The 16,262-nt window shown below is 42.7% G+C and overlaps 1 protein-coding gene across 6 annotated transcripts in view; it reads left to right on the plus strand.

Annotated features, from left to right (window-relative positions):
* COMMD1 (copper metabolism domain containing 1) overlaps window positions 1-16,262 on the plus strand; it is a 247,668-nt gene that overhangs the window by 29,998 nt on the left and 201,408 nt on the right. The window contains exon 1 of one of the 6 annotated variants that reach the window (XM_017003412.2): window positions 2,454-2,478. The exons of the other annotated variants lie outside the window; for them this stretch is intronic. The gene's annotated coding sequence lies outside the window, so the exon portion shown is untranslated. Of the gene's footprint in view, window positions 1-2,453; window positions 2,479-16,262 lie in introns of those variants that run through there. 6 annotated transcript variants of the gene reach the window in all.

Consider the following 16,262-nt stretch of genomic DNA (forward strand, 5'->3'; position numbering starts at 1 on the left):
TTTTTTATAACACTGGACGTCATATGATAAAGCAGCAATTGCAGATTACCCACCTGGGATTTGTAGAGTATTTTAATAGACTCAGGTGACCTGTAATGAGGCCAAATGTCCTGTAAATCTTTTTTCTTAGTTTAGGGCAAAACCCATTCAATTAATCTATTTTTGGTTTTCCTTTTCTCAAAGCAGCTATTCTGGGCCTGGAAACTTGACTTGGGTTAAAGGAGTGGCTGGGTAAGGAGATTTTAAAGGAAATGTTTATCTTTGATTTACCTATTAAATACATACTAAACCCCTAATATGCTGAACCTTGCTCTATACACAAGGTAAATGTCACTGTCCCTATCTTATATATGATAAATGCCATGAGAAAGGTATAAATGATGCAGTCTGGTGGAGTGGATCCTTAAACTGCAGAAATATGAAAAAAAATCATGATTTTTTTGTCTTAATAAAACACCCACATTTTTAGCTCTATCTTAATGTAGAATGCAGTTTTTATAAATTTGGACTTCTGTTATGTGGTTCATCTTTGACAAAAATTTATGTTTCAAGTAAATGTTTAAAACAATAATTTTAGAAATTTGGAGATGGTTTCTGTTACCTGTGCTTTATTTGTAAGATTAACTTTTTTTTTTCTTTTGAGATGGAGTTTTGCTCTTGTTGCCCAGGCTGGAGTGCAATGGTGTGATCTCGGCTCACCGAAGACTCTGCCTCTCAGGTTTAAGCGATTCTCCTGCCTCAGCCTCCCGTGTAGCTGGGATTACAGGCATGCGCCACCATGCCCAGCTAATTTTGGATTTTTAGTAGAGACAGGGTTTCTCCATGTTGCTTCAGGCTGGTCTCGAACTCCCAAGCTCAGGTGATGTGCCCGCCTCGGCCTCCCAAAGTGCTGGGATTACAGGCGGGAGCCACCGTGCCTGGGCTCGGCCTCTTTTTTTTGTTTTTGAGGCAGCGTCTTGTTCAGTCTCCCAGACTGGAGTGCAGTGGTGCCATCGCAGCTCACTGCAGCCTCTGCCGCCCGGGCTCAAGCGATCCTCCCACCTCAGCCTCTCAAGTAGCTGAGACTACAGGCATGCACTACTACACCTAACTAATTTTTGTATTTTTTTTTTTTGTAGAGACAGGGTTTTGCCATGTCGATCAGGCTTCATCGCGTTTTTTTTTTTTTTTCATTGAGTAGAGAACCAGTTTTTATCTATTCACAGACAGGTTGATTTGACAAGTTTTATATAGTTTAATTTGGCTCAGCTTTGTCTTTACAAATAGATTGTGAGGTAGGAACTGGTGCCCTGAGTTTTGCTTCTTTTAAATGCCTTTATAACAGAGAATTGTTTTGCTTTAAAGCTGCATAGCACATAACTAAATAAATTTGAATATTTTCCTCCCTAAGTTGTATACCTCTACTATTGTCTCGTCTTTTACAGCTTCTCCAATAGTTCTTTAAAGGTCTAGTACAGACTGGGTGCAATGACGCATGCCTATAATCCCAGCACTTTGGGAGGCTGAGGTGGGAGGATTGCTTGAGGCCAGGAGTTCGAGACCAGCCTGGGCAACATAGGGAGCCCCTGTCTCTACAAAAAAATAAAAAAAATCAGCCAGGCATACTAGCCCATGTCTGTGGTCCCAGCTACTCAGGAGGCAGGAGGCCAAGGATCACTTGAGCCCCAGAGGTTGAGGATGTGCAGGAGGATCACTTGAAAAAGATCTAGTACAGCTAGTGCAGTATTTTTCTGTCTTTTCTCTTTTTCTTTATTATTATGTCATTTAAATTTCCACAGGCTCAGGAATATTCTCCTGTTTAGACCTATGAATTTCAGCTGGTAGTAGGGCTATGGTTATAAGAGATGACCTCTAAGCAATTCTGATTCTTGAGCAGTAATTTTTTTTTACACAAAAATGTTAATTTTTACAATGAAGTTGGATACTATGCTAATCAAGTACTCTTTCCCAGGAGAAGGTTCAATGGACCATCAACAGTACTGCAGAGAGAGTTCTAAAAATAAAGAGGGAAAGAAAGAACATACTTTTTTTTTTTTTTAAACTTTGTAATTGCTTCTGGAGACTCTCCCACACTTACATTTCTGAGTTGGCCAAAAGTGTTCCTCTAAAAAAGGCTAAATTCTTTCCCCATGAAGTTAAAGGCTGAGGTGTTGCTTGGAGTGTTTAATAGGAAGAAATATATGTGGTGCTTCATTATGGGTAATTTTTACCCCTTGTTGATGAAGAAAGGAGTCCTATTCAAAAATGACAACTGAGATGGTAAGTTAGTTACTGGGTAAAAGTAACCTGGCAGAATAAAAGCCAGTAACAATGAGCTTCTAGTACTAAAGGGTGTAATTTAGAAGCATCTTGAACATTTAGTGCTCTGCTTGTGTCATAAATAGCCACTTGACAGTGGATCCAAATCTGTTTTGATTTTCCAGTGAGTGCAGAAGGAATCCTAACCCTTAAAGATTTTTACTAGAGAAAATCCTGGAGGTATATATGTTTATATATATATATAAATGTGTGTGTGTGTATATATATGTATGTGTATATGTATACATATACGTGTGTTTGTGTATATATATATGTGTGTATATATATATATATATTTTTTTTTTTTTTGAGACAGAGCCTTACTCTGTCACTGAGGCTGGAGTACAGAGGTGGGATCTCGGCTCACTGCAACCTTCACCTCCCGGGTTCAAATGATTCTCCTGCCTCAGCTTCCTGAGTAGCTGGTTCTACAGGTGCGTGCCTGGCCAAGTTTTGTATTTTTAGTAGAGACAAGGTTTTACCATATTGGCCAGGCTAATCTCGAACTCCTGACCTCAAGAGATCCACCCACCTTGGCTTCCCAAAATGCTGGGATTGCAGGTGTGAGCTAACATGCCTGGCCTAAAAAATATATTTTTTATCTTCAATCATAATACAATAGAAGTAAACATTTGTAACCATTTAAAATGTGTTAAATTCTTGGCTTTAGTCATTTACAGAAATATTGAATATTGAATCTGAATATATACTGTTGGTCATTGTTTCTGAGAACTAGACCAACCCAGTATTATTTTGTTTTTGTTTTTGTTTTTTTGAGACAGAGTCTTGCTCTGTTTCCCAGGCTGGAGTGCAGTGGCACGATTTCTGCTCACTGCAAGCTCAGCCTCCCTGGTTCATCCCATTCTCCTGCCTCAGCCTCCCGAGTAGCTGGGACTATAGGGGCCTGCCACCACACCCAGCTAATTTTTTGTATTTTTAGTAGAGACGGGGTTTCACCGTGTTAGCCAGGATGGTCTCGACCTCCTAATCTTGTGATCCACCCGCCTTGGCCTCCCAAAGTGCTGGGATTACAGGCGTGAGCCACCGTGCCCAGCCCAACCCAGTATTATTTTGGGGGAATGGTGATTGATAGTTTGCTTTCACCTTTCTTTAACTGCCTGTTTGCATGATTCAACAAAAAACAACCTTGATCTCTAAGAAACAGCCATTGTGTTTCTTAGAGGTGCAAACTGGAAGATTGGTTTTTTAAACTATTATTTAACTTTACAGTTATTCTTGTTCTTTATTTAAATTTTTTTTCCAGGACCACTAGTAAGAAGACTGTTTTCCTGTCGATGTATTCTGTAGAATATTTTGGATTTGAATATATTTGTTACCATTTTATTATAGTAACAGACTATACAAGAAAAATTGTAGAAAATGATCAGTTTTATAGCCCTTTTAATACAGAAAATGAGTAGGTCTTCGTTTTATAATGTTTTGTGTTATGATATTAGAAAACTTGGTGATTTTTGGCATTTAACTGTGATGTGGAATTATGTTTTGGAGAAATCTGGGCCAATGCAGGGAAGATTCTAAAGATTTACGCTAAAAGCGGACTTTTACCTTGTTAATCTGGTTTTGAAGATTGTGCTTCCATCCTATTTTTATAGGATTGTGGCAGTTTTTTTGTTTGTTTGTTTGTTTTGAGATGGAGTTTCACTTTTGTTGCCCAGGCTGGAATGCAATGGCACGATATTGGCTCACTGCAACCTCTGCCTTCTGGGTTCAAGCAATTCTCCTGCCTCAGCCTCCCAAGTAGCTGGGATTATAGGCGTGAGCTACTATGCCTGGCTAATTTTGTATTTTTAGTAGAGATGGGTTTCACCATGTTGGCCAGGCTGGTCTCAAACTCCTGACCTCAGGTGATCCACCCGCCTCGGCCTCTTAAAGTGCTGGGATTACAGGTGTGAGCCACCATGCCCGGCCTAGGATTGTGGTAGTTTTATTATAAAAATTTGCGAGGTTTATTTCTTTCCCCTTATGTAACTTTATGCAACTTGAAATTGATTAAAACAGACAAATGTGAAGTAATTTCACAGATGCTATTAGTTGTAATTACTTTAAAAGACCCCATACAGGCTTCTGGCCAAAGATTGTATATCCAGTATTTAGGAGAAAGATAAGAAAGGGGGACACACATCTGTTTGGAGGAAGACAGTTAAGTTGATTATCCATAGAACCACCATTGACTTTGCTTTACATGGTTTCTGGGTTAGCATGTAAATTTGTTCTGGAGTGACTAAAATTGTAGATCTTTTTGTTGAATAACAGTGTAATTTAATATAATCCTGATGTAATATTCTGTAATTAGACTTGGGTAATGTGGAAGGCAGCAAATTGCTTTTCAAGATATCTAGCCTCAAGAGATTTTGCTGAAGCAGATACTAAGCTGTTCTTTCAGGCATTTGGAGTATGAAGATTTTGAAGCTTACTTGATTAGTGGACTCAAAAACAGAAACTGCTACTTTTTATGGGATATCTATCAAGATTTTTAAATTATTAAATTATAAACCTTCAATATTTCATTAGATTAGGTGTAGTCATTAATTTTCTTCTGTCTAGGTGGGTAAACTAAATGATGGATGATGCAGAATTGTAATCCTTTTAGTCAGGTGATAAATAGTGCTTAATTCATTCCTATATACATTAAACTATGTGCAAAGTATTGTGCTAAGTATTGAGGGGAATATACAGATGAGGAAAACACTGTGTATTTCTCAACATCTAGCTAAATGATGAGAATTGAAAGCAAAATAAAAGCCTAATGAATGAGTTGTAATAGGATATAACAGTTACTAGAATATAACAGCTTTTAAGTTAGGAGTAGGAAATATTTCCACAAGCAGAATAAGGGGTTCTATATAGGAAGAACAACATTAAGACATGTAAGTATAGAAATGTGTGTTGAGTCCAAGGATACCAAGGTCACTGTGAACCATGTGAGATAAGATGATAAAGGGGACCTGATAGTCAAGAATGCTGACACATATGGGCTTTATTTTGTGGTGAGCAGGGAGCCAGTGAAAAAGTTTTAATTGGGCAAGTGACATAAGCTCAGATTTATATTTAGAAAGAGTTTTTTTGTTTGTTTGTTTTTTGTTTTGAGGCAAGGTCTGGCTCTATTGCCCAGGCTGGAGTGCAGTGTGGTGTGATCTGGGCTCATTGCAACTTCCTCCTCCCAGGCTGAAGCCATCCTCCCACCTCAGCCTCCTGAGTAGTTGAGAATACAGATGTGCACCAGCACACCCAGTGAATTTTTGTATTTTTTGTAGAGATGGGGTTTCGCCATGTTGCCCAGGCTGATCTTGAACTCATGTGCTCAAGCCATCCACCCGCCATGGCCTTCCAAAGTGCTGGGATTACAGGTGTGAGCCACAACGCCCAGTCTAGAAAGAGAATTTCTTTAATAGTGTGAAGCATGAACTGTTTCAGTGTAGCTGCCAAACCATGTCACTCTGCAGTGTTTCAGGTGGGTTTACTTACAGGTGAGGAGACCATATGGAGCCACCCACTCTTACCTCTGGTAAGGTTTGATTAAATTTCTGATTTCCTTAGCCAACTATACAGAATCTCTCTCTGAGGGAGAAGTGGACAGGAGAAAAATAGGAGGAAGCAAGGGAGTGGGCTGCTGGGCGTGTTGGGCTTGAGAACGAGTAAGGGGTGGTGGTAGGGAGGACTCAGAGTCGGAGGGGGGATGGTTGGAGAGGGGGGAAGAGAGAGGTAGAGTGGAGCAGAGGCATATGGTGGGGGGTCATGCTGTTCGGTGGAGGATTAGGATGTTGTCGAGGAGGGGAGAAATCAGCCAGATCAAAGGAGGAGAAGTCGTCGGCTAGGGCTGTTGGGGTGAGGGAAGCAGGAGGTGAGTCTGGTTTGGAGCGGGTGAGGAGAATTTGGAAAGTAGAACCAGACTGACAGAGGGAAGGGCAGTTACAGTGAGTGAAGAAAGCCTGAACATAAGGAATCTCAGACCATTTCCTATTGCGATGGCAAAAGTTGTAAAGTCCCGTTTCAGGCTATTGGGAGCCATTGTCCAGTTGGTATTGGGGCCATGCAGTATTGCAGTGAAAGATAAGCCTCTTAAAACAGATCTCTGAACGGAGGCCGAGAGCATTGAGATCACGGAATGGAGGAGCAGTGGGTAGAGGAAGAAGAGACTGTCGGTGACGAAGACTACAGGAGAGGGCGTCCCCTTTCCCGTGGAACTTGTCTGGAATAGAGGAGGTAACTGCTGTATCAGGCGTCCCTGAAGCAGAGGAACCAGAGGCCTGGAGGCCGGAGGAAGCCCTTGGCCGAGTGCTGGGTCTTTCAGAAATGGAGAGACAGACGGTCAAGGGTTCCGGGGGCAAGGCAACAGTCTCTTCACTCACCCTGGTGGAGGCTTTGATGCATTGATGGTGGATGAAGTCGCCAGCAATGGGAGAGTCTAGGAGATTCTCTGGGTCTTTGGCAGGTTTGGGGAAAGGGAGATTGGCAGGGAGAGGGGTGTTAGGGGAGGGAGAGAGTGGGGGAGAGAGAGAGTGAGAGTGAGTCCCGGCCAGAGTCTGTCTGCTTCCTGGGTTTTGGCACCATAATGTAAGGTTAGCAGAGAGAAAGGACGAGAGGGAGACCTGAGGTCAGGCGAGGAAGTTTACTAACCTGCCGGCTGCTCCATCACAGACAGAGGAGGCAGCACCAAGCTTATGGAATGAGGGGTTTATATTGGGGAGGGGAGTTTGAGGGAGTTCTTTGGTATGGCTGCATCCCGGGGTTGTTTGCTGGTTAATTTTGCCACATATCACCTTGTGACGTTTATTACAGGAGGGTGTAGGTAAAGTTTGTTTATGCTTCCTACGACCTCCCCCTGTGGGGTCTGGATGGTTTGTAATTGGGGTTTGCTTATCGCAGCAAGGTCTGATAAGTGAAGTCTGCTGGCTTCACCGTGGAGCCTAGACAAGGGCTTAGAAATGTAAAGAGGTTTGGGGGAAGGGTGGGCAGCACCAAGAAGCTTTCTTGGGGCAGTTTGTCCTTAACAGTAGGACTTGCCTGCTGTCTCATTTTAATGTCTCTCTGGGCCTCATAATTTAAAAGGACTCACATTCCTCAAAGTTATTTTCTTTTCTCAGTATTACTATTTTAAAATCTTGCTGTGTGGTAAAGTGTTAGTTACATTATTCTTTCAGGAAAACTATTTACATTAGGGATGTGTATTTAGATCCACTGACAATATATTACAAGAGTCCTGGATAGCTTAAAGGCAATGCCAATTGCAGAGTTAGTGTTTTTTTTTTGTTTTTTGTTTTTTGTTTTTGTTTTTGTTTTTGAGACGGACTCTTGCTCTTTTGCCCAGGCTGGAGTGCTGTGGCATGATCTCAGCTCACTGCAACCTCTGCCTCCTGGGTTCACGCCATTCTCCTGCCTCAGCCTCCCGAGTAGCTGGGACTACAGGTCCCTACCACCACGCCTGGCTAATTTTTTGTATTTTTTAGTAGAGACGGGGTTTCACTGTGTTAGCCAGAATGGTCTCCATCTCCTGACCTTGTGATCTGCCTGCCTCGGCCTCCTGAATTGTTGGGATTACAGGTGTGAGCCACTGCGTCTGGCGAGTTAGTGTTTTTTAAATTAAACATATTAATTTGCGTAAATAGTGTACAAGTAAGATTGTCCCCTTTGTGAGGTTAGATTTTAGTTATTTGTCTTTGAGAGCCATATCCAGCTACAGTGGAATATACTTTCAGACATAGTGATGATAATCTGTCAAAAGACAAAATTACAACTAATTTGGTTTAAAGATCTTAAGAAAGAAAAATAGAATCCTGGAACCCCAAACTCACTGTGCAAAGGGGAAAGTTAAACTTGGGATCTGAGGCATCATACAGTTTTCCTTTTGTTGCCAAATCAATAGCTATAATATCATAACCCCATGTCATAGCCTCATTTCTTCGACTCTCTTTTCATGTTTACTTTATCTTACGTAAAATGTCGACTTACTGAGCTTGAGACAATACAAAGTTGGCTTTTTCCTTTACTTCCTCTTTTCTCATGTAAAATATAGATTTTTCTGAGGCTAATTGGAGCTTCACAAGAACGTAACCATCTGCCTCACTGCCTACCTGTTCTTCCTTTTATTCCCCCCTCCTGCTTGCTCTTTCCTCTTTAAATACCAAAGTTCACAAAACCTCCTTTGGAAGAAGTATAGGCCACAGGTGCCTCTGTGATTTGTTTTTCCCTTGGGCACATCCTCAACCTTGGCTAAATAAACCTCTAATCTATTGAGACGTGCCTCAGTCACTTTTGGCTTAACAATCTCAATTGTGTATTTGCAACTCTAAAATTGGGCAACACTTCATTCAATAAAATAGAATAAATGTTCCCATGAATTGAGCAGAGGTGGTTGGTTTTATAGGCAGAAAGGGCTGAATAAAGCAGAAACAAAGAATAAAATGCAGATTGGTCATTTCAAAAAGTTACTTTCCTTGTAAGGCAGCGATGGGGAGATAGAACAATAGAAAAATAACTGACTACTTAACATCAGGTTACTTCAGGCTACCTTTTTTGTGTAAGGATTGAAGCAAAGGAAACCTCATTCTCATGCTAATTGAAGACTGTAACTGGCCTTTTGGGAAAATTGGCTGTTATGGCTCTGTCCTCATTCTTTGGAAGGTCAGATAACAACTTAGTTTTAGTAGTGGTGATGTGAACTTTAGCATGGGTGACTCCATTTTTTGTTTGTTTGTTTGTTTTTTAGATGGAGTCTCACTGTGCAGCCCAGGCTGGAGTGCAGTGGCGCGATGTCAGCTCACTGCACACTCCACCTCCCGGGTTCATGCCATTCTCCTGCCTCAGCCTTGCGAGTAGCTGGGACTACAGATGCCCGCCCGCCACCATGCCCGGCTAATTTTTTTTGTATTTTTAGTAGAGGCGGGATTTCACCATGTTAGCCAGGATGGTCTCGATCTCCTGACCTCGTGATCCACCTGCCTCGGCCTCCCAAAGTGCTGGGATTACAGGCGTGAGCCACCGCGCCTGGCTGGGTGACTCCATTTTGATTTGTAGCGTTGTCTGTTGAGACCTAGTGGAGTAGCTTAGTCCAAAACAGTGGCCTTCTGAAGGTTTTGTTTTGTTTTGAGACTGAGTTTCACTCTTGTTGCCCAGGCTGGAGTGCAATGGCTCACTGCAACTTCTGCCTCCTGGGTTCAAGTGATTTACCTGTCTCCGCCTCTCGAGTAGCTGGGATTACAGGCGCATGCCACCACGCCTGGCTAATTTTTATTTTTTTAGTAGAGATGGGGTTTCATCATATTGGTCAGGCTGGTTTCAAACTCCTGACCTCAGGTGATCTGCCCTCCTCAGCCTCCTGAAGTGCTTGGATTACAGGTGTTAGCCACTGTGCCTGGCCAGTTTTTTTTTTCTTAAAGACCAGTGTGATAGTAACCTTTTGTAATTTTTAATTAACAAATTATATAAAAAGTAAGCAATATAAAGCAGGGAGCTATTTATTTATTTATTTATTTTGAGACAGAGTTTCCCTCTGTTGCCTAGCCTGGAGTGCAGTGGTACAATCTCGGCACATTACGACCTCCGCCTCCTAAGTTCACAATTCTCGTGCCTCAGCCATCTGAGTAACTGGGATTACAGGCATGTGCTACCATGCCTGGCTAATTTTTGTATTTTTAGTAGAGACAGGGTTTCACTTCATTGCCCAGGCTGTTCTCAAACTCCTGGACTCAAGTGATCCGCCCACCTTAGCCTCCTAAAGTGCTGGGATTACAGGTGTGAACCACCATGCCCGGCCCAGGGAGCTATTTAATATCTATTTTCAGTATCCTAAAGAGCTAAGCGTACATTTTTCAGTTTCGGAAAAGGAATTTGTCACATATTGACATTCTCAGGAATACAACCTTTATAGGACATGCTACCCCAAAATGTTGTACCTTGACATATTTTTTTTATTTTTAAGGGTGGTCAAGTGAAGCAGTGGGAATGGAGAAGGAACAAATAAATTTGTAACTGGTTGTGATAAGCTATAAACCAGCCTTGAATATTTTTTAGGCTAAAGGCATTTGAGAAAATAGCCAAAGCAGTAAGGTCTCTCACACCTTTTCCTGCCCTAGTCCCCTGAAACAGGTCATAAAAACCTTTCAAGGATTTTCTGACCTCTTGAAGCAGGTCCCAAGATCCTCATCTGAAATGTCAATCTTAAAAAAAGGATACTAGAGAAAACTATGTCTATACATGTTGTGTTTACTCAGGAATAGAAATAAGGATTATAACCTGGAATGCAAGGAATGGCAAGCCACCAGTGCATTCCATGAGGGAAGGGTAAGGGAAGCTTTTATTAGCAAAAGAGATTTACATAAGCTGCTTAGGAGCGGAGTTCATTGGTTCCAGAGGTTCAAAGCCAGAGTTATTATCAGTTCATTGGTGGAGATGCCCTTACTGGGCAAGTGTTCTTCTGAAAACATTTTATCTGAATTACATGTCCGAGATAACTGTTTCCAGTTCAATAATTATTTGAATTACTGCAGTCCTAAAGAATGTCTAGTGATAAACCTTATCAAAGCAGGAGATGTGTGAAGGACACAGAATGACTTTCAGAAAGTCCTTGGAAACTGTTCTTATCTCACAAGCATGGGCCTCCTCTTCTTTGGGCGTTCCCGGCTCTATTTTGTCGGGGTCTAGCAAAAGTTAATTTCATCTTGCTATCTGCAACTTTCACAGAGAGGTGCCCTTCTTATACCTAGAAGAAAGGAACATCTCTCACTCTGAAGACACATAGACACCAAGAAGAGTCTCAGCAAATGGGCCTTAATACATTTCCCCTAGTTTATTACCATTATATCATACTCTTTTGCCCTATCATATTTCTCCACGACTCTCCTCTCTCCATCAAACCTAGCATAACAATATTCAGGTTCAACTGTTTCTTCAGGTCTACACTTCCTTATGAAAGCTCTTGTGTCATATACAACTTAAATTTGTAAGGCCAGGTGCACTGGCTCACACCTGTAATCCCAGCACTTTGGGAGCCCAAGGCAGGAGGATCACTTGAGCCCAGGAGTTCAAGACCAGCCTAAACAACATAATGAGACCTGGTCTTTACAAAAAATTAGTTGGGTATGGTGGTGCATGTCTGTAGTCCCAGCTTTTCTGGAGGCTAAGGTGGGAGGATCACCTGAGCCTGGGAGGACAAGGCTGTAGTGAGCTAGTGAGCTGTGATTGTACCACTGGACTCCAGCCTGGGTGACAGAGCCAGACCCTGTCTCAAAAAAAAAAAAAGTATGCTTTTCTTTTGTTCACCTGTTTTTTATCATAAGGGACTCAGCCATAAACCTAAGATGGGGGGAGGGAAAGATATTTTTCCTCCCCTACAACCTTTTCTGTGTAATTATGCCCAGATTTATGAAAAGTCCAGGTGACTGCTATTGAGGTTCAGTAAAAGGAGAAATTCTCTGAGAGGGGGAAGCCAGCTGACTGCCAGGACAGTCAGTCTTTGGTTGGCAGAACTTGTAAAGTGATCAGGATTCTGCATTGATACTTTATAAACCTCTTTTGCTCTGGCATCCAGAACTGATTAGTCTCTAAGAGAGTGATCCAAAGAGACTTCTAAGGCCGGTCATGGTGGCTCATGCCTGTAATACCAGCACTTTGGGAGGCCGAGGCAGGCGGATCATGAGGTCAGGAGTTCAAGACCAGCCTGGCCAACATGGTGAAACCCCATCTCTACTAAAAATACAAAAATTAGCCAGGCGTGGTGGCACGTGCCTGTAATCTCAGCTACTCAGGTGGCTGAGGCAGTAGAATTTCTTGAACCTGTGAGGCGGAGGTTGCAGTGAGCCGAGATAATGCCATTGCACTCTATCCTGGGTGACAGAGCAAGACTCCGTCTCGGAAAGAAAATAATAAAAAATAATGAGACTTCTAAGAGACTATTGGATAAACCACAGGGTTTTGTGTGTGTGTGTGTGTGTGTGTGTGTGTGTGTGTGTGTGAGTGAGTGTTTGAGCTCACCTATCCACCAGAATTATTTGTATCCATCATTTAAGATACCTTTTTTAGATGTTATGTCACCTGGAATACTAAGATAATAGTTGGAAGGTTGCTTGATAGGCATGGAATTGAAGCTGAGGCAACTGAGGTAGTGTGTGTCTTTGGGGCTCTTGGTGGAAGAAACAAGTTTCAGATATGATAAGTGTTAGATTAATTAGGTTCACACTGCCTAGGTATGCTAACTCAGACTGAAGCTGTGAGGTTTCTCAGTGGCTCCATAGCCAATTATATATGCTCGAACTCATGGCTTATTGTGACTGTCAAATATGTAATTAACATTCAGCTTATACACAGGCAGTAATTAAAGAAGGATAGGCTGGGTATGGGGGCTCGTGCCTGTAATCCTCGCACTTTGGGAGGCTGATGCAGGAGGATCACTTGTGGTTAGGAGTTCGAGACCAGCCTGGCCAACTTGATGAAACCCCATCTCTACAAAAAATAGAAAAATTAGCCGGGTGTGGTGGTGCGTGCCTGTAGTCCTAGCTACTCAGGAGGCTGAAGTGAGAGGGTCACTTGAACCCAGGAGGTAGAGGTTGCAGTGAGCCAAGATCATGCCACTGCACTCCAACCTGGGTAACAGAGTGAGACCTTGTCTCAAAAAAATAAATAAAAATAAAATAAGGGAGGGTAATGGACCACAGAGATGGCTTGGGAAACCAATATGCTGATAGACAAGTTGAATGGGTCTGGAAGTCCTTTGGATGCTGATCACATAGTAGCGTTGCTGCTGCTTTTTGGCAAAGCCTTCAGTGGCAGCCGCCAAAGTTGGAAGAAGACCTCAAAGTTCTCATGGGCAGAGCCTCTAAAGGTGTCTTGGACTAGCCTTATTCTTGCTGCTTTTATGATCCTCCTCAGATTGGTCTATTCTTCATTATCTCAGCCTTGTTTCACTTTTTATGAGTTCATTTCAGGTGTTGGATGGTAATGGGCAACAGCAGGTGCTATATTATTACCTTAGTCCATTACCTATATGTTTATGGCTTTGAGGGGGTGAACAGCTTTACTGTGGGCTCACTGCTACTTGACATAAGTGACTTCATTTTGAGACATTAGAATCACAAATTATGGTATATCAGTAAGGATATTGGAGACTTGGTTGACAATTGGGTAAAATTCCAGAAGGCTTAGTGAAAAATGTTAGTTTCCGTTAGGAAAGACAGCTTTGAGGAATGAGAATTTTGAGAAGATACGTACCAAAGGAACTTTGCATTTGAGGATGGTAGTTGCAGGATTTCTATCCCAGTTGTGTGCCTCTGAGACTTTGAAAGACTCCATGGTCTTTGTTGTTGTTTTTTCTGAGACAGGGTCTTGCTCTCTCACCAAGGCTGGAGTGCAGTGGCGTGATCTCAGCTCACTGCAGCCTCGATCTGCTGTCCTCAATTGACACCCCTACATTGGCCTCCCAAAGTGCTGGGATTACAGGCCTGAGCCACCGCGTCTGGCCTTTTCTTCCCTCTCTGCTTACATTCTTAATTATTCTCTAACAGTAATGTCTAAATCTGCAAAGTTCTTTGGATAAAATGTATACAAAAGGCACAAGTGGATTTATAAATCCAGTACTTCCATTCATGGCATTTCCTTGCTGTTATTTCAGTTGTCTGAATTGCCAAGAGATTCAGATACCACTTATGTTTTACAGACCCCTTGATAGTAAAACAGGCAGCTATATTCTGTGCTTGGAGCTCAAATGAGATGTGTAAATAAAAGAACCATTGGCTTTATATTCTTTTTTTGTTTTTTGTTTCTTTCATTTCTTGGTTCACCATATACATAGGAGAGGTTGACACTATGTCTAAGGAGTGAAGAAAGAAGAAGTGAATAAGTGCTATGGTTTGAGTGTGTTCTCCAGATTTCATATGTTGGAAACTTAATCCCCAGATTTATGTGTTGATTGGTGGTGGGGTCTTTGGGAGGTAATTAGGATTAGAAAAGGTCATGGTAAGATGGGATAATTCCCTTGACCCCCTTGCTGGACTTGTGACAGGGGTGTGGCTTGTTTACTTGGCTGCCGTGTGCCCAAACCCCTTGCATGAGGGAGCACATGAGCGAGTGCAGGAACGAGAGCAAATGAATGCTGGAAGCAGCCCAGTTGATCCTCTCTGGCAGGAGTAGGTTCTGTGTGGACCCCGTAGCAGCATCCAAGCGTGTTACAACCAGTGCTCTTTCAGCTCTCCTGTCCAGGGATGACCAAGTGCCAACCAGCTCAGTGGAGGGTCAGAGTGGCAGCTCCTGCCCTCTCGGCACCTGGGTTCTTGTCTGGCATCTGGGAAGAATCAGGTCACACAAACAGATTGAAGGGTAGTATATGTGGAGGATTTTACTGGGCAATGGAAGTGGCTCTCAGTGGGATGGGGAGTTGGAAAGGGGATTGTGTGGGAAGAAGGTGATGTTTCCCTGAAGCCCAGCTGTCTCTGGCTGGGCCCCTCTCCAAAGCTGCACATCTGAAATTAGCCGCATTTATCCATCGTCTCTGATGCTCAGTTTCTTCTCTGCTTGCCACTCAGCTGCTTGTATCCACAATGCTCAGCCGCTTGTATCCACATTGCTCAGCTGCTTGTATCCCCATTGCTTAGCCGCTTGTATCCCTGATGCTTAGCTGCTGGTATCCCTAACACTCAGCTGCTTGTGTTGCTCTGCCAGCTGAAGTGTTTTTTTCAGGGTGGCAGGGGTGTGGGGGGTAAGGACGTGGCAGGCCAAAAAGTCAACATTTGGGCAGAAAACTGGGTCAGCTGTTTTCACTTAGTGCAGAGGTTCCAGGCTTAAGGGTGGGGTTTAGCCGGAGCCCAGCCCTTATGTATCAATGTAGGGGTGAGCCATGATGGGCCTGGTGGCTTTATAAGAAGAGAAAGAGAGACCTGAGCTGCCATGCTTTTCCCACACGTGATACCCTCTGCCATGATATGACATAGTAGTAAGAAGGCTCTCACCAGGTACAGCCCCTCAACCTTGGACTTTGCAGCTTCCAAAACTGTGAGCTAAATACCCAGTCTCAGGTATTCAGTTATAGTAAAAGAAAATGAACAAAGACAACAAGCAACTTTTGTTTTTCTTTTTTTCTTTTTTTTGAGATGGAGTTTCGCTCTTGTTGCCAAGGCTGGAGTGCAATGGTGTGATCTTGGCTCACTGCAACTTCCACCTCCCGGGTTCAAGTGATTCTCCTGCCTCAGCCTCCTGAGTAGCTGGGATTACAGGCATGTGCCACAATACCTGGCTAATTTTTTGTATTTTTAGTAGAGATGGGGTTTCTCCATGTTGGTCAGGCTGGTCTCAAACTCCCAACCTCAGTTGATCTGCCCACCTCAGCCTCTCAAAGTGCTGGGATTACAGGTATGAGCCACTACGCCCGGCCTTTCTTTTTTGGTGTAATCCAAAATACCTAAATCCAGTTTAAACATCCAGAACTATATATGTTTAAATACAAAATGAATTTGAGATAGGGGTGTGTGTCAGGGGATGGTGGGGGAATGTGAGAGGTAGTACAGAATGAAAAATAAGTTCCAGTTATTAGTATCTCTTGAGTGGGACAGTTGGGACAGCTGTCCTGGAAGGGCCATGGGGATGGTTTTTCATAAAGAATGAACCATGGGATGTCCACAGTAAATGAATTTTGCCTTAGGCTTGAGGGAAAACTCATTTAGAGCCTTGAATGCTCATCTAGAGTATCAAAATGAAGGAAGAAACTTGTAAGTAAAACTTATTTTTGTCTTTTAAAAGGCTTAATGAGTGGCCCTGTGTGATGGCTCATACCTGTGATCCCAGCGCTTGGGGAGGCAGAGGCGAGAAGATCACCTGATCCCAAGAGTTTGAGACCAGTCTGAGCAACACAGGGAGACCCTGCCTCAAAAAAAAATTTTTTTTATAAAGGCTTAACAAGTTCAAGTTATAGAATGAAAAAATTTCAATTAATTCAATGGTAGGCTGTCATGAAAACAAAA

Source organism: Homo sapiens, chromosome 2 (assembly GCF_000001405.40).
Source record: "Homo sapiens chromosome 2, GRCh38.p14 Primary Assembly".
Classification (NCBI taxonomy): Eukaryota; Metazoa; Chordata; class Mammalia; order Primates; family Hominidae; genus Homo; species Homo sapiens.